The 26631-nt window shown below is 38.9% G+C and overlaps 1 protein-coding gene across 1 annotated transcript in view; it reads right to left on the reverse strand.

The window, feature by feature from the left end:
* USH2A (usherin) overlaps nucleotides 1-26631 on the reverse strand; it is an 800558-nt gene that overhangs the window by 24449 nt on the left and 749478 nt on the right. The window contains exons 64-67 of the mRNA NM_206933.4: nucleotides 23633-23954; nucleotides 3253-3462; nucleotides 1189-1427; nucleotides 183-391 (exon numbers count right to left, since the gene is read on the reverse strand). Coding sequence (NP_996816.3) covers nucleotides 183-391; nucleotides 1189-1427; nucleotides 3253-3462; nucleotides 23633-23954 — 980 coding nt within the window. The remainder of the gene's footprint in view (nucleotides 1-182; nucleotides 392-1188; nucleotides 1428-3252; nucleotides 3463-23632; nucleotides 23955-26631) is intronic.

The following is a 26631-nucleotide window of genomic DNA, read 5'->3' on the forward strand; positions in this document are numbered from 1 at the left end:
ATATTATTAAATCCAGTAGGCATTTTTCCTCAGTAGTCATCCTCATCAATGCTTCAGTAACATTCAGTGTTATTGAGCCCACTCAATCTGTTTTTAAAAGTGGCTTCTCCGAGTTTCAGGGCAAGCTTCTCCTGACCACATTCCAATCTCTCTGGCTTATGGTAGCAGCCACTTATACTCACATTCTTTTTGGGTGGTGAAACTGATCCACTCGGAAGCCGTACTGCCCACCTCGTTGTGTGCCACCACTCTCAGCTTGTATGTGGTGTAGGGCTGGAGACCCCCAAGGCTGGCTTTCTGCCCCAGCCCCGTGTACTTTGTTTCTATTTGGCTGGGAGTACAGGGGAGGGCTGAGTCAGGAGGGCAAGCCACGTGGAATTGGAGTTCATAGCTAAAATGAGAATGGATACGTAGAGTCAAGACGGGTAATGGAATTAGTTTAACTCTCTCTTTTAAAACCAGTTCTATTTTGTGAGGAGACATTTTGTTTTCACAGAGCTACAGGCTCTTTAAAATTTCCATTTGCAGGAAACTGCTCTCAGAAACACCTTATGTAATGCTATTGGAAACGAGCAGCAGATGTAACCAGAGAAATGATAAGAGAAGTCACCATCTACACACACATTGCTGTTTACCCAGCAACTAGTGATCCTTTTTGGTAGAGATAAGACATTTCCCTCTTTTAAGAGGAGAGACATAAATGGTTCTTCTCTTTTTAGAGTAAATAATTTTTTTTCTAAATGATTTTGAGTCAAGTGTCTTCTTTTTCCTTTCAAACAGTGGTTTATGACAATATTTTAAATTAGATCAGGGCAATTCTGATTTAACTGTGGAGGTATCTTATGTTCCAGTGAAGGCTGGTAGAAGGAATGCTTCCAGATAACCATTAGGAAGAGCATATTGAATACGAACACATTGCATTGTCTTTTTAATGTAAAACATTTCGTTGTTCTCCTTTCTATCATTAGTTGCTTTTATGATTTAAATACATCGCAGGTAACATTACCACTCAAATCAATTTGTTTGTCTACTTTGCTATAGATATCTGTTCAATAAGCAAGTCCTCCCTGGGGAGTGCCAGGTAGCTATACAGGTTTGTAGCCTAGGTGCAGAGTAGGCTATACCATGAGTTCATATGTCTGTACACATGCCTTGTTAGTTTCTTCATCCTTCTGCCTGACCCATTACCTGTGAATGACACCATTGGGGAACATGGGGGGACTCCACCGGAAGGAGGCCGTCCTTGAGGCCAGCGTCCCGATTTGTGGAGAGGACAGTCCTGAGGGTGGGGCAGGATGGGTTCTCAGTTCAGCTGTCGGTCCTTTGCTGCAACAGTTGAAGCAGGTGCAGGCCTCTACTCCAATAGAGTAGTTAGTGAAGGCTTGAAGGCCATGGAGAGTCTGCTGGGTGGCCATGCCTTCGGATAGCTGTGGAAGGAAGGAAGGCTAGATAAAGGCAGTGTCAAACATTAAAGGTGTTTGATGAATGTTATCCAAGATCCCACCTCCTACAAATGGAGTACCATGCCAGGCACTCTGGGAGACACAACATGGCATTTAGCATGACATTTATCCTCAAAAAATTACCAACTCAGTTAGAGAGGTATGACAAATAGGTGAAAAATCTGATAATGTAACCGTTAAATAGACGTTTGAGGTAGCAGGATGGAAATCACAAGGCATAATATTATCGATTATCTATTACCTTAGAAAGGTATTAGAAAATGGCACGGAACACACAAAGTGTTGATCAAAGTCTATGACCCTCAGAGTGATGTCTTTTCAAAAAACAAAATCTGCCTTCCAATTATATGTCTAGTCAGCATTCACCAAGGTCCATATTCTGCCATGGTTACTTGCATGCAATTTCTCAGTCAAAAAATCTTTTCAGATCTACATTAAAATCAGGTATAAGTATTGGAGGGCTTGAAAGTCTATCTCTTCCTCTGAGGGTGTTGGTTTTTACAAAATATCATAGTCTTCTCTCAATCATCTTTGTAGGATTATAAAGTTTTGGTTTATTTTGAGCAAATTTTTAACCTCATTGTGGTTTTAATAAGTACTCTTCGGAACAAGAGTTCAGAAACTGAAATTAATGTTCATGTTGACATAAAGAACATATGATTAAGAAGAGCTGTTAAAAAATGCATACAATGCCCTCCAAATATAAATTATTTTAGTTTATTATCATTTTATAAGCATGGATAATCAAGGGTTGATTGTATTTACATCATCTATATTTATTGAGTACGAAGCCCTATAGAAAATATGCTAATATTCCTTTAACATTCAATCCAAGCCTCCCTGTATGTAAGTTATCTGTTGAAATTGTGTTTCAATACCTGACACTCTGGTCTCAGAGGAATTCTCCACACTTGCCCAAATTGTTCCCTAAATTGGCCTAAATAATGCATAGTGTAATACCAGGATCTGCACAATCTCTATACAATGTTTGTGTGAACAAAGTATTATAATCTCCACTTATTCATGAGAAACTTGAGAGTGACACAAGCTATACCACAGAGACAAGAGTCTTCATCGTGCTGGCTGCTGGTATCTTCATTTAAATAATGCAGGAACTGGTCTAGTTGATTCTTAGCATCGCTTCCGGGAAGTGGCTTGGCTAACGCACAATGTGAAAGATGATTTCCCTGAGCAATCTCTCCTGTCTCCCAGTGTGCCTCAAACGTGTTAACGAACAAACAGTGGAGCTAGGGCTATGCTGATGGAGCTGCTCTGCTCTCTCTTCTAAAGGGTTAGAACTTTCTTGAAATCACCAGAGGAATGAGAGTTTTCCATGTATTATTAGAGATTTGTGCATGTCAAAATAGAGATTCCAAGGATATTCTTTGCTCTATTTTGTTTTCATACTAACATTTACACCACCAATAATTACCATTTGCCAACTTCTTACTATGTGCCACCACTCTAAGTGGTTGATCTGTTTTCTAATTAAATTAAATTAAATTAAATTAGTGTGATTGCCTTTAAAGTCTTAGTTTCTTACGTTTGTGGAGTCTTTAATACCACCTTTAGCATCCCTCTCCCTAAGAGTTTACATACTTTCTGTATGTTTCCTCAGGGTTCACTTTTTCTTCTCTGAGGGATATTTGTGCTACTAAGTTCACCGTAGAGCAACTGAGAACAGAAGGATAAGAAAGATGGAGGGAAAAACAAAAACATAAAAACAAAGGTTTCATAGTAATGATTTTTAAAAGTCAACCAGTCCTGGATTTTTAGCTCTGCTGCTCACCACTGTCTCAGCCCCATGGGCGCTGCTGGAGAACAGCCTGTAGAGACTGACGATCCCGTTGGGCTTCCCAGGGGCACTGATGTTGACCACTGCTTGGGTAGAAGAGATCACATGGAACGTGGGGGCTCTGAGACCTTCTGGTGGGGCTGGCCCGGTTCTGCACCATGTCCAGCTACTGGGGGCTTTTCCTGCAGAATTCACTGCCCAGACCTCCAAAGAGAAATCAACAAGACTGTCAAAAGCAAGATACCCTAAGGCTGGGAAAAAAAAAAAAAAAAGAAAGGAAAAAAAACGAAATTGGCAACCAAAAGCAACTAAACACAACAGGAAGAGATAAACTTTGATCTTGCAACCTTGTAATCACACAGGAGAGCAAGGAGAGCAGGCTGTTCCTTTTTTATTTTTATTTTTTGCCTTTTGCCTTTGACCATGTGAACACAAAGGGGGCCGTTTAGGATTTCAGAATGCAGCACGTTGATTTAAGCCTAATGAAAAAACTGCTCATCTCTGTGTGGGAAGTGGAGTGATTTTGTCAGCTTCTGCAGACTGGATGGATCTGCAGACTACAAAAAACTCAGCAATTCTTAAACATTGTCCCCACCAAATCTGCATGAAAATTAAATTTCCTTTCATCAAGGAGGGAATAAACATATGGAACGATGTATAATCTTATTTATCAAGAACCATTTGTATAATTAAACACGAATATCCTAAAAGGTTGCCTTAGGTCGTCATTTGCATGAGTAAGTAATTTGTAGAATGTCAGGTACAATAGACAGAGTAGATGGATGTGTGAGTGTATAGGGTTAAATTAGGCCCAATAATAGCCAACTACACAGTGATCAATCAGAATGATAGATCTAAATGGCAATACAAGAAGACTGTCTGCGTGTTTAGGAGTAGTAGTATTCCTTAGTAAGCTTTCATGTGAAAGCCTAACTTCAGGAAATTTTTTTCTCATTGTGTTTCTTCTACATTATATATTTTCTAAAAATTTGCCCCCGAGCTTTTAAAGACAAATCTGAAAAACTTGTTTGATTCTACAGTACACACATTCCAGGCATGCAGTATTGAAAAAAAAAAAAAGCATGCAGAATGTTCAAAATAGGAGATATTTGTGGGGGAAAAAAAGAAAAAACCTATGAGAATATTTTGCAGTGAGAGTTTAGTTTCATTTTTGTTTACTTTGCTTTTGCATCAATAATATCTTCAAGAGAAGAAACATTAGACAGATTTTTAGTAGTTAGGTCAACTCCTATCAGTGGTTTTCATACTTTTCTTTTTTTCCGGATTCCTTTGTGAAAGTAAATTTTCTGATGTTGAATTGTTTTCAGGTTGCTGTCAAATGCAAATCTCCAGCCCCTTGCTGATAGGATTGCCAGGAGCCTCATTTTTTAAAAGAGACAACTAACCTACTTACATAGATACACCTGCTCTTTTTAGAGCTCGGATACATCCTCTCATCATTTGCATAATAATCACTCACATTTGTATAAACTCTACATTTCACAAAGCACTTTAACTTATGTCAGCTTATTTAGTCCTTCCAATGGAAACCTTGTAAGGTGAGCCGAGAATGTATTACTAGTCCCCTTTTAAAGGTGAGGAAATTGAGCCTCAGAAAATTTCACTATCTTGTTCAAGGTGACAAAAGTTACAAGTGCTGAAACAAGAATTCTGCTCTCCAGTGCCTGTTTCAATGAGCAGGGTTTTTGATTCTGTATGCCATCCATATGCATAAATAAAATAGTCAGAATCATGAAAATTAAACGACTTGTCCATAGACGAATACCTGCAATTCTAGATTAGGTTAAGGTGTCTTAGCTTGCAAGGATGGATAGACATGTACAAGTTGTCTTAGGTGAGGGAGGTTTGTTTTGGTAAGCACAGGGAAGTAAGGAGCTAGCAATGGGAGAGCCAGATTTCATGGAAGTTAGAGTCCATCCATCAGAATACAACTGCAGCTGCTCTCAGAGTCCCCTCAGAAATAGGTGAGGTCAGACTTACACTAGGGAGGGGAGGTGGAGGTTATTCATGAAGAAGTCAGACTTCAGGGCTGATGAGGAGGGTTCCTGTCTCCTCACTGTGCCCCAGAACAACCTCTTTTACTGCAAATATCTTTCTGGGAAGTGGTGGGGGGGACACCTATTATTACACAATGAATGACAAGATTTAAAACAATATTCTTGACAAAGGAATGCAAAGTAAGGTGCAAATATTGATATGACGTTTTTTGCCAAGAGCAGAACTTTGGTTGGTGATTTGAGCGCAGGCAGAATTTAAATTCAGGCTACAATGGATGGGGAGGAAAATGAGGAAGAAAGTGCAACTAGGTATAATAAAAGAAAAATTCAACAACTTGCCAATTAATTACTGTGCACCAATAGGAGATGGAAGTAGTGCAGGCATAGGGTGTTGAAAGAAAATGAGATGAAATAAGCATAATTCATAGCAAGTGCTCAGCACAGTTCTGGCTCTGGCTTATGAACATTAACTTTTCTTTCATTTTCAATGTAGATATAGAATCATAAATACTATTAAGGCTTTTTAATGGTAGTGTCGTAGATTGTACTAAATCTCAGCCTTCCTGTGTTACGTGAACTTCTACTAGGTGGAGTTCTAGTTCCAAAATGTGATTTAATCCCTGGATTTTAAAAACACTTGGGCCTCAGTATTATAGTGTTTTGCTATATTTCCTTGGAAATATTCTCTTTGAAAACCAGGCAATTCAAAATTCCCCATCACTAATAGGGAATGTATGCAGGCTATTTTGTCTTTGGCAGGAGTCCTTCATAATACATTACTCTTTTTCCTAGACTTTCTTTTTAGTATTCAATCAATTTGAGATCAAAATAGCATTCATATAAATCAACATGCTTATGCAAAGCAGGATCAACCTATTTACATGAGCTACTGTGAAAATGAAAACAGAATGAAGAGAAAGCTGACTGAGATAATGAAGCATTATGAATTTCACAAAACTTGTATGATGAGGCAGTGTCTCTGTTATATCAAACCACTAGGAGAAAAGGAAAAAAGAACCTGTGAATAATATTTTTTCTGTCTCCTTCTGTCTCTCTGTCTTTGTCTCTGTCTCTGCTGAGGTAAAAACGTTCTTTGTCTAAAATATCACTGTGGATTTTTGTCTATGCCCGGCTAAGCAAGAGATAAAAGTATTGAAGTGTAGTTCAGGGTTCAGGGTAAAAATACTAACAGGTTATGCTTATGATTCCCACTGAGAAACAATGCCCCAAGATTCGATTCTGTCTTTATAGGGTAGAGAAAGAAGCAGCAGAGATCCCACATAGAAAACTTTTTAGCAATATGTCCCGATCTTTTAGTTGCAATGAACCCATATAAAAATCAATAAATAAAATATCTTGTGAACAAACAGTTGTGTATTTTCTCTTTCTTTAGTGTGTGGGCTTCTCCTAGAAAAATGGAAGAGTTATTATTGGGGAAGAAAAGCAAGTAAGGCTTATAAATTCTATGGCCAAGAGAAAAAAAAGCCAAGATGTTCTTCATCTTTGATTTATTCAGGATATTTTTGTTCCTACAGTGTTTAGACTGAACATATATATATTTTTTTATTATTGTACTTTAAGTTCTAGTGTACACGTGAACAACGTGCAGGTTTGTTACATAGGTATACATGTGCCATGTTGGTTTGCTGCACCCATGAACTCATCATTTACATTAGGTATGTCTCCTAATGCTATCCCTCCCCCAGCCTCCACCCTCTTACAGGCCCTGGTGTGTGATGTTCCCCTCCCTGTGTCTGATGTTCCCCTCCCTGTGTCCATGTGTTCTCATAGACTGAACATATTTATTCTTTTATAATAAAAGATTAAAGATGATTAAAGTTGCTGCTGAAATACATTATTATTTGGGTTTGGTGAACACTTTCACATGTGAATGAGTGGGTGCACACACAGTTATGATTGTAGAGTCAGAAACTTCCCTAGTCGTTAATAATGAAAAGTTAGGACTGACTGACTTGTTGATTTATTTCTCTAAGGTTTCTGTTGTAACCATGAAGAAAGTTACAATGTAAAATGTCATAGAAAACATAGATTAACTACTTTTAATAAGCATAAAAACTAAAATTGTTTAGCCACAAATTCTGTAATTAACTAGCAAAATGATAGATTAATATGTCAGTTTTCAATGGAATTTCTGTTTTCAATGTAATATATTTTTAAATCTAACTAGAGACTATTACCATATTTATGCTTGTTGTTCATTAAAAAAATGAAATTGTTCTTTTATTTACTCTTTCCTACCCCAAAGGACTAATTATTGTATTTTGCCTTAAAAATTTTTAATTACATGGAGTGTCAACATCTGCCACTAAGCTGCCATAATCACATTGCTGTGAAAACAATGAATTTAATCATTTGTTCTCTCTTGAAAATTGCCTCTTAGAAATCTTCTTTTAAGAGAAGTCTTTGTCACAATATATTCCTTAGCCATGGTCATCAAAATGATTTTGGGTACCTGTATCAGAATTTCTGGTGAGAAGACCTTGGACTCTGCCCTTTCAACATATTTCCAAGCGCTTTTTACACCCAATATTATTTGAAAAATACAAAGGCCTATTCTTTATAGAGCCAGGTACAGAATATAGGCACTGTACATTTTCAATTTCTATTTGTTATGTCTCTTTAGAGTTATACTTCACATTAACTTTAGTCATTCAAATAAACACAATAAATGTATCTTGGAATATGTCACAATTCAATAATCATCATAGAGTTAATTACTGTGTTTTTTCACAGTTCCAAACAGAACTAGAGTTTACTGACTTTGTAGAACCACTTCTTGCCTCCTAATTTTCACTTAAGGAGTAATTTCTTGAAACCTTGATATTTCTAGAAATTGCTGAGTCTATTTTTCTCTCAGTGCAGAGTAACATTATTCTAAATGCTCCCAATTTCTCTCAACCCAACATTTCTCCTCCTAATTTTATTCTAGGAGAAAAGCAAACATTTGTGAACAGAAGCATTGTAATAATTTTTGTGAATGGGAAAGAGAAGGGACCATCAGTCTGCACAGGATGGGAGAAGGGGAAATGTATCAGAAATCTCCAAGAATGGTGACCCTTTGGATGCTTCTGTTACTGTGCTAGTTATTCTTTTTTTTTTTTTTTTTTTTTTTTCTTTGAGACAGAGTCTCGCTCTTTCACCAACGCTGGAATGGAGTGGCGCGATCTCGACTCACTGCGATCTCCACCTCCTGGGTTCAAGTGATTCCCCTGCCTTAGCCTCCTGAGTAGCTGGGACTACAGGTGCCTGCCACCACACCTGGCTAATTTTTTGTAGTTTAGTAGAGATGGGGTTTCACCATGTTGTCCAGGCTGGTCTCAAACTCCTGACCTAGTGATCTGCCCACCTCCGCCTCACAAAGTGCTGGGATTATAGGCGTAAGCCACCGCGCCCGGCCTGTGCTAGTTATTTTTTAGCACAATTTCCACACTTAACTTGTTAAGATTGTTATCACATTCCCATAAGGGGGACAAATAGATATTAAAAAGGTCTTTCTAATGCCTGTATTGGCTAAACAAAGTAGTTTTCACCTTAATGCTTTGCCTCGCTCAATGTCTCATATCTTTCTGAAATAACCTTCCTTAGGACTGATGTTTTCCAAGTATTGTCTTACAGCAAAGCTAAGTTATTAATGTACATTTCAAGGGGGTTCCTGATGCATTTTTCCTTTATGGTATCATAAGAAAAACCCCTAAATTGTGAAAATATTTTATGATTCTTTTGGCCAAGGCAATGCTACAAGTCTTGTTCAAATCAAGGGAACATACTTCATAATATATGGTTTATGGATGGTTTGTATATGGGTCAGCACCAAGCTGATGTCTATTTGGTCTTACATTTGCTATTATTCTCCTCATAAAATTGTAATACAGGAGTAACCAAATTCAGCCGATTAATCTTTTACAAAAGATCTCTAATCTGTTAACTCCTAATGTAAGTGATGATGACTGTCTTTACGCTTGGAGCAATTTGAGATTTTTGTTCTTTATCCAGGCTGCTTATTACAAGAGTTGTATTAGTAAAAGTGTTAACTGTCAGAGATTAAGAGAGGGAAGAATATCTGAGCTCTCTGCAACTTCTGTGAAACTCTGTAACATACTTCCTTGTGGGATAATGACAATATTTGATTAAAAAAAGCATTTCAACAATTCTGAGGACAAATTTATATCAAGAAGCTCTAAGGAGACATAATTGTTTATAAAAACTAAGGAATGTGAACATAATTTTGTAACAATTCACATCAGAAATAAACAAAAAATCTAGCATGAACAGCTATGCCAGTAATTAATAAGTAAACAGGTTGTATGTTAACGGGCAAACAATTAAATTATTTGTTTCCTAGGGGCATGTAATGAGATTGTTATCACATTCCCATGAGGGGGACAAATAGATATTAAAAAGGTCTTTCCAATACCTGTATTGGCTAAGGCCAACAGCTAATTCAATAGATTCGATCAAAATCACTACTTCTTTCACTGCTGCTGATTTATGACTTTGGTTGTTGTTAGTCATCACTCATTGCAGTTTGCTTTCCAGTGCTCAGAAATTATGCCTCATAAATAAAAAGATACAATCAAGGAGATCATATCAATTCATCTACAACCTTGGAGTACATTTTCCCATGGCACTCACGCTAATGCCTTCTTAAAGGGTAGCTTGTCATAGGTTTTGAATATGTTTGAATAGCAATATGCTGAAATCTTCTTTGCTGGAATCGCGGTTAAAGAATGTTGGCAAAAAAGACAATGCAATGAATTTGAAATTACATGATTACAAGATTGTTTTATTTCATGAGTAGCCCTGCAGGCTCCAGTTATGAAGGAATAATGTGCTGAAAAGCTCTAGGAGCTATTTATTTAACTGTCTATCTATCTGATTTTCTTTCACCATCAAATGGATGTTTTCCAGCATCTCTATCTGCATAGAACCTTGCTGGATACAATACAGTCACACTTTTACAGATATAGTCCCGTTTTCCAGGTTCCCTTCATCTAAAACACTTTGGATTAGGCAAGATAGAACGTGATTTTAATTGAATTCTGGGACCCAGGGGAAGAGGGTACAGCAGGACATTGTCTTGCTTTCCATGAGCACTTTTGAAGTTCAGAGACGTGAAGCTACTGGAAAAATAACAAGACATTTCCCATGCTAGAATTGGGTGTCTTGTCGCTACTGCTTCTCATACCGCCTTGCTCTTTGGAGCCATTTAATACTTGTGAATATGGTTCTCCTCTAATACCTGAAGAAGGAAAAACTGACCTAACACTGTGAAATACTGAAATTTGCCCTGATTTTTTTTTTTTTTTTTTTTGAGACAGAGTCTCTCTCTCTCTGTTGCCCAGGCTGGAGTGCAGTGGCGTGATCTCGGCTGACTGCAAGCTCCGCCTCCCAGGTTCACACTATTCTCCTGCCTCAGCCTCCCGAGTAGCCTGGGACTACAGGCGCACGCCACCCCGCCCGGCTAATTTTTTTGTATTTTTAGTAGAGACGGTGTTTCACCATCTTAGCCAGGATGGTCTCGATCTCCTGACCTCGTGATCCGCCCGCCTTGGCCTCCCAACCCTGATTCACTTTTAACAATAAAACTAAATAATCAAAATTTGGAGTTATCACATACTTTTTTTTTTTTCTTATATCTGCTCTCCCTAAGAGGAAACAGGAACCCACCCCCATCCGACTCTCATGGAGGATATGTAAAAGTAGTTTTGGGGTTTATTGAGCACTTACACTTTTGTAAGTGTATTCTATGTACTAATTTTGCATTTTTCCTCTCGACAATCCTATATGGTTGGTATTATTATCCCCACTTTACACATGAGAAAACTGAGGAACACAGAAATTTATGCAACTTGGTAAGTGGTAAGGCTGGCTTTCCAATACAGATATGTGACATAAAAGCCCAAACTCTTTACATCTTCCTACATAAGGCCATTAAAAGAAGGCCTGTACACACCTTCCACATGGGTGGGTTGCTGTCCTGGGCTTTTCATAGAGCCCTGCGTGGACTGGCTTTTTCTGTGGAGGGTAGCCTAAAAGTGAGACAGGGGAAACTATCACAAACAACGTGACATCCATCTCTCGTGCCACTTATCATGCTTTCAGCAATATTGCATATTACACAGAAGCAAGTACTACTCATATATTTCATCCTGTTCAAACATGTGTAAATGCATTGAAATTCCATTATGTTCTCTGCAATAATAACTATACCCTAATGGATATAGCATTAAAATATATACTTTATCCACAATAAGTTGCTAGAAGAAGCTAAGATCACAATCACCAATTGTGATTAACATCTCCGTGAAGGATAGTAAATTAGGTAAGACCATTTATCATCCATGAATTCAACACATATTGACTGAGCCATTTCTATATGCCAGATGCTGTTCTATGAGCTGGGGATACAACAGTGAACAAGGCTGGCATTAACATCCTGGTGAGGAGAGGCAATCAATAAAAACACAAATAAAATAAACAGGTTAGGATATATGCTAGAAAGGAAATGATGAGATTGTAGGGTGATATACATAAGGTGATAGAGCAGAAAATGGTTGGCTTATCCAGGAGGTTCTCTCAACAGATGACCATCAAGCTGGGAAACAATTGGCAGAAAGTACCAGATGAAGATCTGAGGGAAGAGCATTCTATGGAAAAGAAAAGCATGTGCAAAGGCCTTAAGGCTAGATCCTCAAGAAGGCCAGTGTGGCTGACCTTAGTGAGTAAGGGCCGGAAAGCAATGGGATGAGGACAGAATTGGACAAAAATGAGACCACGAAAGTCCTCATGGAACTAGAGAGGAGTTTGCATCTTATGGAATGGGGGAAGTAGGGTTTGCAGTAGGAGAGTGACTTTATTTGATTTTCATTTTGCAGGAATGCTGGATACTGAACACCTTCTATGTATTTATATATTAAATTTTACTTTTTTTTGTAAGTGACAATACCCTAGCCTTAAAGTCAACTTATTTAAAGTTCACAGCAACTTTCCTGGGGTAAGTTTTTTTTGTTGTTGTTTGTTTTTTTAATCTCAATTTTACAGATAAGAAAACTGAGGTTTAGTGAGTTTAAATTAATAGCTGAGGATCCAGAATTGGTAATTCATGTAGCCTAGACTGCAACCCTAATCGGTCTGTCTTCACAGGGTCAGGAATTTGTGCTCCTGATAGAGGTGACTTGAAGAAGCTGCAGTTCAGCAGAGCCACCTTGAACTTGGGGTCAGAAAGTCAGGACTTGAGTTCTGACTCTGTTGCTTTTTGACTAGGTAACTTGCTAAATCATTCAGGTTCTTGACTATGCTAAGAAATAACAACATCTATCCCACAGGACTATTTTAAGATTTACATGCAATATTGTTTCTAGAAATTTCTGAGGAATGGGGTAGGGGATGAATACATTTATAAATATTTCATTGATTTTTGAAAGTCCCAAAGCTGCATACAAATGCAATTTGGAGGTAACTGTTGGGGTAGAATTTAAGAAACCAGTCTTTGAAACTGAATCTTAAGGTTCGAATTTGAGTCCTTCAACTTATCAACTCTATATCCTTGGGCATGGTATCTAATTTTTCAATGCTTCATGTTTCTCACCTGTAAAATAGTGTCAGTAATAACACCTATTTCAAATGGTTGTTTGAGATTAAATTAGTTAATATACATGCAGTTCTTAACACAGCCCTTAGCACACAGCAAACCCTAAATAAATAATAGTGATTACTATCACATTATTTGTGTGAAAAGACAGGAGAGAATGACTTAACAGTTTGGGGGATCTAGTGGGGCTAGATAGCAATTGTGCAACTCACTCCTGGATTCCAGTTAGTTGTTACACATTAATAAGATTGGAAAACTCCCCACAGCATTTGGAATTTAGCCCACACCTCCCTGTGTATCTTTCTTCCAGGTACTTCTGTACTGTAGAGCTTTGAGGGTTAGAGTAAATAAAAGCCTGGCTTTTCAAAAATATTGCTCTACAATGAAATTTGTTAATTGGATGGCTTCTCTACTTTGTTTTATAATTAGTTAAAATTTCTCAAAAAGTCCTCAAACATGAACAAAAGAAAAAATTAGAGCAATTCAATGGATTCTTTAGAGAAAAGAATTTTATTACTGGTTTCCATTAGAAATATGCCTATAGGAATCAAAGAGAGAACCGTACAGTTTTCTAGATGCTTATAGGCATATTAGTAATGATCAGCTCCATCAACAGATAAATCAATTAACAAGAAGAAGTCTCAACTATGTTCTTACAAATTACCATTTAAGGCATCTGACTTATTTGAATGTGTTAACATTTTTGTTTCCACCTGCAGATTAGATTGCTTCATATATCCTGAGATGTTTATTTACAATTTAAAGGTAATAAGCTGTTGGTTCAAGTACTTAAGTACAATCCTCCTTAAGTCTTCAGATTTACTTAGTGGTTTATCAATAATCATAGATTGACAAGCCAAAGCTGGCCAGGTGATCCTCTAGCCCAGAAAGGATTCTACTGGTGAAGGCATTATTATATACTGGTTGAGAAGCAGCATCAATCTGAGTGTGGGGGACGAGCTGGTTTTTCCCCAGATCCATCCTCTGCCCTTCTCTGGCTTGGTCTGTACTCTGGAATGCTGACTTCATCAGACTGCCTCACCTGGAATCTTTTCTCCTCTGGCTCCTTTCCATTAGGTTTTGATCAAAGGGAAGAGAGAGTTCAGGTTCTTTGTTTCTCCTGCTCCTCTCTTTGGCACTGCATGTTGACAAGGCTGAATTTCCTCTCAATGACCCACTTTCTTCCATTGTCCCTGCAGGCCTAGAAGGTAACAGCTTCTGGCTCTTCCTACTCCCTGGGTACTTCAACATCCCTTATTGATTCTCTTAATTCTACCCACACCTCCATAAATAGCCTCTTCATTAAATTTTCTTCAAATACCCTTTGAATGTGCCATATGTTTCCTGCTGAGATCCCGATTGATACAGTGGAGAATATTTTGAACCATTACATGGGTACCAATAACAGTAGGTGGGCTAAGAGAGGCTTCTAAACATAAGGATGGAGATTTAGAAAGGGATTTCTTTTTGTAAGACTGAAGGAACAGAGAAATGGTGCCCCTTCATGTCTCTGTGGAATGATTTTAGTCAAGTACCTCTTTAATATCAAGGTGCCACCTGTCCTGCACAAAACCATCTGGCCAGAGAGTAGAATAAGAGTGGCCTTTAGAGTTTGGTGTGGAAATCGTGCTGTCCCTGAAGATAAAGAAGCTGCTTCTTCCTCCCTGGGTCTGTTTTGCCATCACTCAGATCCTGCAAACATCAACGTTCCTAGCCATATTTTTATGGATACATTATTCATGGGCATCTTTATTTGACTTATCAACTATAATTTAAGTCCCTGAAGGGGAGAGTGCATGGATTTTAGCCTCCTGCCTCAATCCTAGTAACTAGGTATACACTTTGAACATTGTAGGTGCTTAATAAGGACAGTTTATTAAATACTCAATTTACAGGATGGAGGAAAATAAGTAAAACACATCTTACCCTTTCCTAGATGTTTTTACAGGACCTAAGTTTTAGGTGACTTTGGGAGCCTTTGTTTTCATGGCCATCTGAAGAGCCATGAGGGCAGGCTGGAATGGCATATTATCTACATTCAGTTGAAGAGCATCTGTTGTGTTTAACATTTTATTTTCAGCAAACAAACTTCCAACACAGAGACAGGAAGATCAACATCACCTTAAGTGAAATATAAATCTGAGTTGCATCTGCAAGAGGGTGAGAACCAACCCATCTTCACATGGATAACTTGTCCCAAAGGCGCCATGAAGATTGCCAACAACAGAAGCTTCAGAATAAAGTCCTAAGGGTTGCCATGAGAGATGGAACAAGAACAAAAAGAATTAGAGCATGCTCCTGAATGTGCTCACACTGACAGGTGGAAATGATCTCCCGTGGGAACAAAAGGCTCGATGCAAAAAATGATCAGGCCCTGGGCCTAGTGGCGAACTTTAGTTTTCTATACATGGAAATGTCCCAGTGGCCTTCAGTCTAACCTGTGCACTCAGGCCCTAAAGTTTTAGAATAAATACACTGCCTGAGTCAGACAATATCAATAAATCATTTAAAACCTTGAGCTGTGGGAGTTGGGGTGGGTGTGGGGAGCTTAGTTCTTGTGGGAGAAATTAACCAGACAAAAACCTCCATGCTGGTCGGAAATACATTAGTGAGATTAATACCTAATTAAATGCAAGTCCAAAACTAAACAGAAAATGTGTTCAATATGTTTTCTCTAAATGTGATATAGAAAAGAGATGGGGTAAGGGTGACAGCAATAGAAAACAGGCAATACAAAGCAAGTAGCTAATTGCATAAAAGTAGAGTCAGACTATCAGAGTTTGGAATTTTAGTCATGGGTATGTGGGTAAATTACTCTTTTTCTGAGAAGAGAAATGGCAAGGATGAGGAGGGTTGAACTTCCTAGCGGAAGGAGTATCACACCTTTAGAGGCAACTGTACTCCTGATTGAGATTTTTACACTCTAACATTTTATCAATGACTTGTTGATATAGACAAAAGAAATGTCTTAACCTGGCTTTTTTACAGTCTTGAATGAAAGTTTCTCCTTCTTTTAACTAGTGAGATCCTGGGGGGATCGGATGGGGGCATGGACCTACTAAGTAGCAGGCATCCTACTAGACACACAGATTTCTTAGTTCTCATAACACACCCATTTTTTTAAATGAGAAAGGTGAAGTTATCAGAAATTAAGTATCTTTCTTGCACAAGCTATGTGATCTTAACTCAGCTTCTTCATTTGGAAAACAGGAAGGGTGTGAGCATCCAATGTGAAAGAGCACAAGGATTGTCAATATCTCACAGGTGTGGAGTACTTGTTCCCGTGGTTGGTGTGTGTAGCGTGCTAGGGCAGTTCTTGCTTCTGGCTGGAAGCATTTCCCGCATACCTCATGCAGCCCTGCCTGTAGGAGGTGGGCCCTGCGACCACACCTGCTCAATCATAGTCCTCTGTTCTCTTGGTTCACAGGAAGGCAGGTAGTGCAAAAGGATCAGTCAGAGTCCTGTATTGGTTGACTTATAGTCCTCTTTCCACTCTAAGGTGGATGGGTAATAATAATAATCATTATTGTTATATGGGCGAAGTGGTTTCTATGTATGAGGTGCTGTTCCAAGCACATTCACATATTAACTCATTTAACCTCAGAGCAAGCCTATGAGTCCAATGCTATATCTATTCACATTTTAAAGACAAGAAAACTGATGCACAGAAAGGGCTTGAATCTGGGAGTGATTTCCTCAGATGCCTGGTGAAAGTGTGCAGAATGAAGCCAAACAGAGACAAGCTGAGATGGGGCAAGGAGGGACAGAATGAATGAATCCTACATCATCCGAGTCCTGCATCCCAGGTTTCCAGGACCTGGTGTTCATATCTTTTCTTTGGTTTCAAGGGATTCCTTCAATGCCCTTCCCAGATGCGAGAGCAGAAACAATTCCCTTCTGTTTAACTTAGTTTACATTGGCTTTCTGTTACTTGTAGTGAAATAGTCATGACAACTTTTTGATAGTGTGGGTTTTCTCAGGAACATAAATGAGACTTATTTGTAGCTAACTAAATAAGTTTATTATTTATTTACATTCATATGTTATAATATAGCTATACTTTAAAAAATATATTAGTGAATAAATATGTTAGGTTTCAATGAGAGACACAACTAATTATATTTCCATGTGTCCATCTTGGTGATGAATAACCATATATCCATTTATTATCTGAAGCTGATTTCATACATTCACTTGCATCAACACAACTTAAAGCTAAATACCATTAGAAAATTCTGTTGCTTTGGGTGAGAATTTATTTTGTAGGGTTTTACAAACTGTAGATTACAAAAACCAATCAAGAGAAGATAAAGTTTGATTAGACTTTCTAAAAATTATATACCTGTAGCTTACCACTACTCTGCCCATAGAATACAGAGCTGGAGGGTGCTTCCTTTTATAGATGAGTGCTATGAACTGACTGTTTTTGTCCCCTTCAAATACATATGTTGAAGGCTAATCTTGAATATGATGGTATGGAGGCCTTTGGGAGGTTATTAGGTTGCATAGGGTGGAGCCCTCATGAAGGGGACTAGTGTTCTTCTACCTGGTATATGTGGATATAAGGAGAAGACCATTATCTGTAAGCCAGAAGGTGGCCCTCACCAGACACTGAATCTGCAGGTGCCTTGACCTTGTACTTTCCCGCCTCTAGAATTGTGGGAAATAAATATTTGTTATTTAAAGCCACCCAGTCTATGATATTCCATCATAGCAGGCCTAATTTATATTATGAGGAAAGGCCCAAAGAGGTTAATGTGCTCAAATATCCAGAAGTAGTGAGAGAAGGAGTAGAAGATGTTGGCCTTTCTCCCTCCCACTTCTAACTCATCGCCAACGATTTGGTAGCCTATGGTGGGGGCTGGTGCAGGGAAGGCCTCCACAGTACCTCTGGCAGTCTTCAGGCAGCTGCCACTGGCAGCAACAGTGAGGATCCCCTTCTGTGTCTCCTCCACAGCCCTTCTTTCCATCCTCTTGTTTGGGGGCAGTGTTGGTCTGTTAGAAAGCAGCAGACTGCCATTCTGCATGGGCTCCTGCAGCACTAGCCCTAAGTTCAGACCCCATGCCATGAGTCACAGAGTTTCCTCTAAGACTGACCTACTGCTTCTCAGTCACCCAGTCATGAGGCACCAGAATGCTTCAGAGACCCTGAGTGTGCGTGGGTGCTTACCGCAAAAATCTGTCAAAGTGAGATAGTTTCAGGAAAACTAATTAAGTCACTGACAGCATGAATCAGTGAAAGGGGGGGTGGTGGCGGGCCCTATCAAATCCGTGGTGAGTCTTTGCCTTAAGCAAGAGTATGAATATGAATGCACAATTACTGAGAGCTATTCATTAGCCTCAGCTCACTCCCCAAAGGTAAAAACCAAAATGTCTTAACAGAGTAGACTCACACCCAGGTCCCTCTCAAAGCCTGTGGGAAAAATATTGTCTTAATTTGCTGCTAAACAGTTAAGAACTGCTCCACATAGAATTTGGAGGTTCACACTGCATGTATTAGAATAGCCCAATTTTGAAAGGGTTGAAGATAGAAATGATTATTGTCTTTAAAAAAATCTTCTTGGATTTGTAAATATTCTGTAGCACAAGCAAGACTGTGATCTCTGTTTAAGGAAGAGGTCTGTGCAATGGAAGAATTTTATTTAGTACAGATGCATCGCATTTATGCATGGAACATACATTCACAGGGTTGTTTGAGAATTAGATTTTGGTAAACTAAGTTGCATTTGAAATTCACAGAGAATGTTTGCTTTCTAATGGGACCCTGCAGTGCACTCTGTAAAGCCACCAACCCATTCTTGTGGAAAACAAGAAAAAGTAATATTCCTAATTTTTTGATTCATATTTTAGATCTCACTGGCTTTATTAAAGCTAATCCTCCAGAGTGTTATCCTTCAGAATCCCAGAATTCTGGAAGCTATGCTGAAATGACTCAAACTAGAAAAATCCCCTGTTTTAAATGATGGTGAACTTTACTCTTACCACCAAAGACCGGACCTCCCAAGTAAGAAACAAAAGAAAATAAAACAACAATAACAAAATCCAAATAAAATCCATGAGGAAGATTAAAATAAATTATATGAGTAGCTGAGACATGGACTTTGTAGATAATATATTCTGTTCTCCTTTCTAGTTTCACATCAAAACAATAGGACCCTTCTTTAGGAAAGCCAGGATAGACCAACGTCAATAGGCTATTATCAATGATCATCATGTAAATTAGGCATTTGTGGGGAGCTGGCTTCACTTATTTGGGCTGTTTATGACAGTTTAGGCTAGTGATTCTCAACTCTGGCTGCACATGAGAATCACCTGGGAACCTTTTGAATCGCAGGGATTCCAGAACCCATCCCAGAATCAGAACTACAGGGGAATGGGGACTGGGTATCAGCACCCAGAATGTTGTGAAATTTCCCCAGGTGATTCTAATGCACAAAGCTGAGAACCACTGATTCAGAAAATCACCGCTTGAAAATAAGGCTTAAGTAGCATAGCAGCAATGTCTCACCCTCTGAGGCAGTATTTCCAAAAAAAAGTGGGTTGTGGACTATCCAGGCTGCTTGTTAAAAGTACAGGTTGCTAGGCCAGGCGCGGTGGCTCACGCCTGTAATCCCAGCACTTTGGGAGGCTGAGGCGGGTGGATCATGAGGTCAGGAGATTGAGACCATCCTGGCCAACATGGTGAAACCCCATCTCTACTAAAAATACAAAAAACTAGCTGGGCGTGGTGGTGTGTGCCTGTAATCCCAGCTACTTGGGAGGGTGAGGCAGGAGAATTGACTGAACCGGGGAGTTGGAGGTTGCAGTGAGCCAAGATTGCGCCATTGCACTCCAGCATGGCCACAGAGTGACATGCCATCTCAAAAAAAGAAAAAAAATACTGGTTGCTGGGGTCCCTTCCCATTCCACCCAGGAGTCTGCCCTTTGAACAAGCTCTTAGGTCCTCCACTTGTACTGTAAACAGTGGGGATGCTACCTTTAGGGCATTCCATATTGAAGTATTAGTGAACACTTAGAAGGTGCTTGTGATATCACATGGATTTTGCTCACCTTCAAAGGAGCTAGTTATCAAGCTGGTTATATGAATTGTGGTGAGGTGAGTGACATTTGCTGCTCATTTAATTTCCCTCTTTGGTTTTCTGCAGTGAGTAGCTCCTCCCTCTCTATAAGTATCCATTTCTCCAGATATTTCCTGACCCTCCTGCCCGTTAGAACTCATCCATCACTTTAGGAGGCCGAGGTGGGTGGATCACGAAGTTAGGAGTTCAAGACTAGCCTGGCCAAGATGATGAAACCCCGTCTCTACTAAAAATACAAAAAAAATTCGCCACGCATGGTGGCGGGCGCCTGTAATCCCAGCTACCAGGAGGCTGAGGCAGAGAATTGCTTAAACCCGGGAGGCGGAGGTTACAGTGAGCCAAGATCGTGCCATTGCACTCCAGCCTGGGTGACAGAGCGAGACTGTGTCTCAGAAAAAGAAGAAGAAGGAAAAAAACAAAGAAGAAGGAAAAAAAAAAGAAGAAAGAAAAACAAAAGAACTTATCCATGCGATACCCTCTTCTATCACTGGCCAACTGATGGAATGAGTTGATTTAGACTAGTGAAAACTGTCTTGTTCTTTTCACATAACTAAATTTTAACAACTGCCTTCAATGATTTAACTCAAAACCAGAAATGAGTACAATGATGTAATGTAGTGTAGGAAGGTGGTGGGGAGCCCCAGCTGATACTTGCAAGGCACACCATGTGGGTGGCAACCTCCCCAACTATACATCCTCACGATCTTCTGATTAATCCTTCCCCACTGCTAGGAAGTTTCTCAGGTCTTTGTTTTTATTCCCTACAATCTACAATTACCTCAAAAACACACTCCTCTGCAGAAGGGTGAAATCACTGTCAGTTGCTGGGTGAGCAGATTTATATAGGACAATGAAGGTATTTTCAAAGGCCACTTGCAGATGAAGTAACCCTCAAGTGGTTTTGAGAGCAATGCAAATTCATCACAAATACAAAAATGCTCTTTTGTTAAAGAAAAATAAATTGTTTTAGTATATAACTTCCTAAATGACTTCTGTAAGATTACTCAGGGTCCACATAGACTCAATATTTACACAGGCTAAATGAAACTAATATTTTCTGATCATTTATTTCAGCATTTAATCTATGCTTTTCAAAATATTATTTTCCATAAGAACTGGGCCTTTGGGCTAAGCTAGATTTTGATTTTCTTTGTTTTCTATCCTTATGTTGTAACTACGTGGGATTAGCTAATAAATAAAAATTGGAGATCAAAAACCAAATTAAATACTTTCATTTGAGTGAGATGAGTATGGAGGAGGAGTGTAACACAGAGCCGATAGTAACAGTTACAAAAGAAACCACACAGCCTAAGGTTCTTAACTTGCCTCTCCTCTGAAATGTGGGTCCCTTTGTTCTTAGTCATCCTTAGTGCCTGATGAAAAATCTGACTAGAGACAAGGCACATGCTTGGAGCTTTCCATTCCATAGAAAACTGGGATGGGGCCTGGCATGGTGGCTCATGCCTGTAATCCCAGCATTTTGGGAGGTCAAGGCAGGCTGATCACTTGAGGTCAGGGGTTCAACATCAGCCTGGCCAATATGGCAAAACCCTGTCTCTACTAAAAATACAAAAAAACATTAGCCTGGTGTGGTGGTGCATGCCTGTAATCTCAGCTACACTGGAGGCTAAGGCAGGAGAATCGTTTGAACCTGGCAGACAGAGGTTGCAGTGAGTTGAGATCTCGAGATCTCACCACTGCACTCCAGCCTGGGTGACAGAGCGAGACTCTGTCTCGAACAAAGAAACAAACAAACAAACAAAAACTGGAATGAGACTTCCACAGATCATGTGACCAGAATTTAACCCAATGACACAACACAATACCAGAGAAAGTTTGTGTTTCTTATATATGGGTCATTAAGTTGCGTTTAATTAGCGGCTGAAGATTTTATGCTGATTTCATCCAGCTCTCTCACGAAGGTACCATTTTTATTTGTAAGGGAGACTAGATAACTGACAGCTTGATAACGTGACACTTCTCAATAAAGGTAATGAGAAAAGAACAAAAGGGCAGGCACGTAGGTTCTGGCTGTTTCTAACAGTGTTACGTTTCCGATGGTGGCATCGGTAAGTATTTTGTTCCTTTATGACATAAACCACAATTCTTATCCTAAACCCTTGGGGGCCTGATGTGTTTTAAAATAATTTTGTTTTTAGATTTTGAAATAGGATAAAATGTATATACTGTATATTTTGTAATATCCATACCATGATCTGATTAGCCATCTTATAATAAAGCAATATTTTTGTAGCAAAACATATAAATATTCATATTAAATGGGATAAATAAATACTGTAAATAGTCTCAAGTCTGTTTAGATTGGGTTTTGTTGCCAAATGACTTGTGGTAAAGCAAGAAAATACTTTTAAGAGATTTTTAGACTTGGAATTGCAAACAAGGGATTATGGATTTATATCTGTGTATTTTTCCAAACCATTCGAGAATTTATTTATATTTTTAAATCTTATTAATTCGGTAATTTGTCCCATACATTATTGTCCTAAAATATTCTTTTCATGCTTAAAATGTTCCCTGTATTCACTGTACTCATTGATTTGGTCACTATCTTTTTGGTGACTTATTATTTTTAGTATTTCATGTTATAATAAGCTTTTTAAGGCTCAGTTTCCTCTTTTAGAAAATTTCTGTTGGCATTGTTCCTGGCACTTAAGTGCTTACATCAGTCAGTAAGCTTTCTTTGACTGCAAGCAAGAGGCACTGATTCTGACTTAAGCAAATGAGAATTTACTGTGAGTTTATGGAATTAAAAGAACGGTTGAAGAACCATGCTTGGAAATAGCAGGGAAAAGAAAAACTTTTAGATTGAGGTTAGGGATATTTTATCACGACTTCTCACCTCCACCTTTTAAAATTCTGAGTCACTCTGCTGAAGATCAAGCCCCAGGCAAATCTGAGGGGCTGAGCGGCTCATGTGCCCACCACTTGGCTAGAAGACAGCCTGACACATTGATTGACACTCCCACCACGCCTGAGCAAAGGGTGGGGGAAGCACATTCTCCCACAGGAAATGAGGTTGTTATCACAAGAAGAATGCAAATGGACTCTGATGGCAAAACAAAACAAACCTAACAGAAGTCCTCCACAGAATTCACCATATTTTCTGAATATTATTCTTAATTCTTGGCTTTTTAAGAATGCAGTCTTATTTTTTTAGGCCATCCTCAGAGAAAACTTAACTCATCGCCATGGGCAGGTGAGTTGTATTCCTCTAGACTTTTTTCAACATTCTGTATCTTTCTTGAGCACCGAGGCTAGAGATGTTTGCTATTTGATTTTATTTTGGTACGAGTAATGAGTTATTTTCAAAGTGATCTTTAAATAAGGAGTGTCTCCTACCAAGGCAACGCTGACAGAGGGAATCTTAATGGCAGAAACCACTTTACTAATAAGAAATGCAAATTCACCTGGAATCTACTTAAGAAAAACAACGTATATAATATGGCTCAAAAACCAAGAAAATGAAAAAGGCAATGAACATGGTTTTTCCTCATTTACCACTTAAAAATTTTTAAGGAATATTATTATTCTCCTTAAGTCCTACATTTCTTTAAGTGCCTTTTCAAATTGTGCACCATTTTTACAGGCAGGTGCTGACGGGTGCAAACAATCAGCTCGAATTGTTTATAATACACATTTCTTACCTGATACTCATACTCTGTGAAAGGCAATAGTTCGGAATCTATAAAAGATGTTGAGCTTCCGTTATAGATTAGGACTGGATTGGATTTTCTAGGCTGAGTTGCTATTTGTCTTCTGTATAATTCGTAATACAAAACTTTTCCATTTGGCTGCAGCGGTCCTGTCCACAAAAGAGAAACAGTTGGCTGGAATCCTCCTGGAGCCATTTGTACCTCCAGATGTGGAGGGGGTTGCATCAAAGGTGCAATCTCAGGGGTCTGTATGAATGTCCAGTCACTTGATGCACATCCCAGGGTGGTGCACGCTTGAATTCGTATTTCATACCTTCAGGACATAAGGCAGAAATTAGTGATTTTCAGCAAAATAGATTTTCATGGGAAGAATCTTTAAAACACCAGGCCTTAAAAAAAAAAGACAAGCTTACATGTATTCTTATTCACAGCTAATTCTTAAGAATAACAAAGTTGAGAATGGCTTGAACCTGGGAGGCAGAGCTTGCAGTGAGCCGAGATTGCGCCACTGCACTCCCGCCTGGGTGACAGAGCAAGACTCTGTCTCAAAAAAAAATTATATTTCCATGGAAATTTTTGAACAATCAAAATCCCCCTGGCTTTCTAAACTAAAGTTCCTGATCTGTTCGAAAGGGGTGAGTGCAATTCTTCCCCTAAACAAGGATGTATGGAATAAATAACTCTCAAGATTCTTTCCGGCATGAAAATTCTGGTACTCTTCAGAATTACTTAACATAGCAATGAAGAATGCAGACCTTAGAAAGTATGAAGCAGTTCTCAGCAGTCCTGGACTCCTACCTTTGCAGCTAGAGCTAAATGATCCCTCAGGAATGTTTCCAGGTCATGAAGGAACATCATGGAATGATCCCCCAGGAATGTTTCCAGGTCATGAAGGAACATCATGGAATTACGGTCTCAGTGGTAATAAATCCCCTCACCTGATACCTAACAGCTTAAAACAGCCTCCCTTACATGATACAAAGACCTTGCGGGGCCAAAGTTAACCCAACTACACACCAGATTATCAATCATGAAGACACCTTATCACCATCCAGTTAAATTCAACTAATCAATTATGTTTTGCCTCATAGCTGGTCTCTGCTACTTGAAAAGGTCTATTTACATAGCAGGGACTTCTCCTTTCCAACAAAATGAGTTTTTGTGAGTATTTAGTGCCTATGGCTGTAAATGAGCACTTTTTTCTCTATTCCCAACCACCATTGATTTTATGACACCTTCAATTTTCCCGCAGGCACCCAGCTATCTTCTTTCTACCTTTATTCCTTTTAGTTCTAGCCTTTTCCTCTTCTATTTTCTACCTCCCCTCTTTGCTCTTTGAATCACTGCTTTCTGTTCTTGTACATGTTCTGTCTCTTCCACCTTTTTGCTTTCTTAATTACACCTTTTTCCCTTTGTGACTTATTTTATTCCCACTTTCTTCTCCTCCTCCCCTGGTTCTCCTCTCATGCCGATCTCCACCATGACAGGGCTACCAGTTTATTGGTGATCAAATCCATAGCTGTGTATGGTAGATCTGACTTCTAAGCAATTCTGTGAAGTCAATTTTGATTTCCCACATAAAGATTATTCATTTTCTGGGTTATCCGTGGTAGTTTTTAAATTTTGGGCTGGATTCCTTCTGCTACTTAGGACTTTCCCAGACTATTTCTTCTTACTGACCAGCTGGGGGTGCTGAAAGGAGGACACACACATTTGCAATATTCAGTGAACATTAATCCACTAAAAACAAAAACAAAAAACCACGCATGAACTCCAACTTCATATAGAAGTGATACTCTGTTTTATGTCAATGCCACTTACAGATTCAGTTAGAGTGGATAATGAAGAGATTTCTCTCACATTCTTAAATATCCTTGCAATTTATCAGATAAATTAAACTTTTCTTTCCAGCCTGGAAAAAGCATTCCTTTCATGCCTGGACAAACTCTTTCACCTCTAGAATACTTTTTGAATAAGAGTTTCAAAAGGGAGCAAATTGATATGGTTTTTGAAAGTTGGAGGTACAGTCAGGTAAAGAGGAAGCCAGTCTAGAATATACAGCTCTGCAGCTACAGTGGACCTTTTTAATGCCCTGAATCAGTGTAAGGTAATATAAAAGCCAACTCACATAGCATGTGGATTAGCTGCAGAGGATACCTGAGGAAGTTTTAATTACTGTTTAATATTTAATAGACCCTAAATAATTGTCATGAGTAGATGCATAAAACCACGAATGTTTCATTTCAACAGCACTATATATCAGAGGTAATTATAGGAGGATCTAATCTACACATCACTAGATTACAATAATAGCTGAATTTTACCTGAGGTAGTTGGAAATCAACACTCTTTCAGCCTTTAATTTTTTTAAGTGATTCTGTTCATTTTACTAAATTTTAAGCATAAAATGTCTCTTATTACCCTTCTCTCTGGGGATGTAAGTTACTTAAAATGTGATGGGGAAAACTGCCAAACAATTATTTAAACAATGGGCAAGATTCTTTTGTGTGGAGAACAACGCACTTCCATGCATGTCACAGAGCCCAGATGGGACCGCTAGGAAAACATGAGCTAGCAAAGTGGCACTGTCCTGAGAAACCATAAGAAAGTAGAGTCAGAGAAGCCTTATTATTCCTGGAAGAAGTGCTGGATTTGATAAGAAGGCTCTTCACGAAACAAATTTTGTTTTAGTCTAACTCTGGCTGGTAATTGCGCTCATTGATTGGCACTTTTTAACCTTAAAATAATACATCATTTTCTTCACAGTCTGGCCAGATGACCCTATCGGGGCTGTCAGAACTGTCCAGGGGCCTGCGTATTTCCAGGGGGACTAGCCTCATCTCTGTCCTACTTATTTCAGATACCAGGATGCATTGCAAACCTTTCTGAAACACTGACTCTCAAAACATCACCTGAAAGAATTCTGCTCTCTGGAGGTTATGCAAGCAGGCTTTGCTTGGGTGAGGATGTGCTTTGTCTACTATGCACGT

This window comes from Homo sapiens, chromosome 1 (genome assembly GCF_000001405.40).
Source record: "Homo sapiens chromosome 1, GRCh38.p14 Primary Assembly".
NCBI lineage: Eukaryota > Metazoa > Chordata > Mammalia > Primates > Hominidae > Homo > Homo sapiens.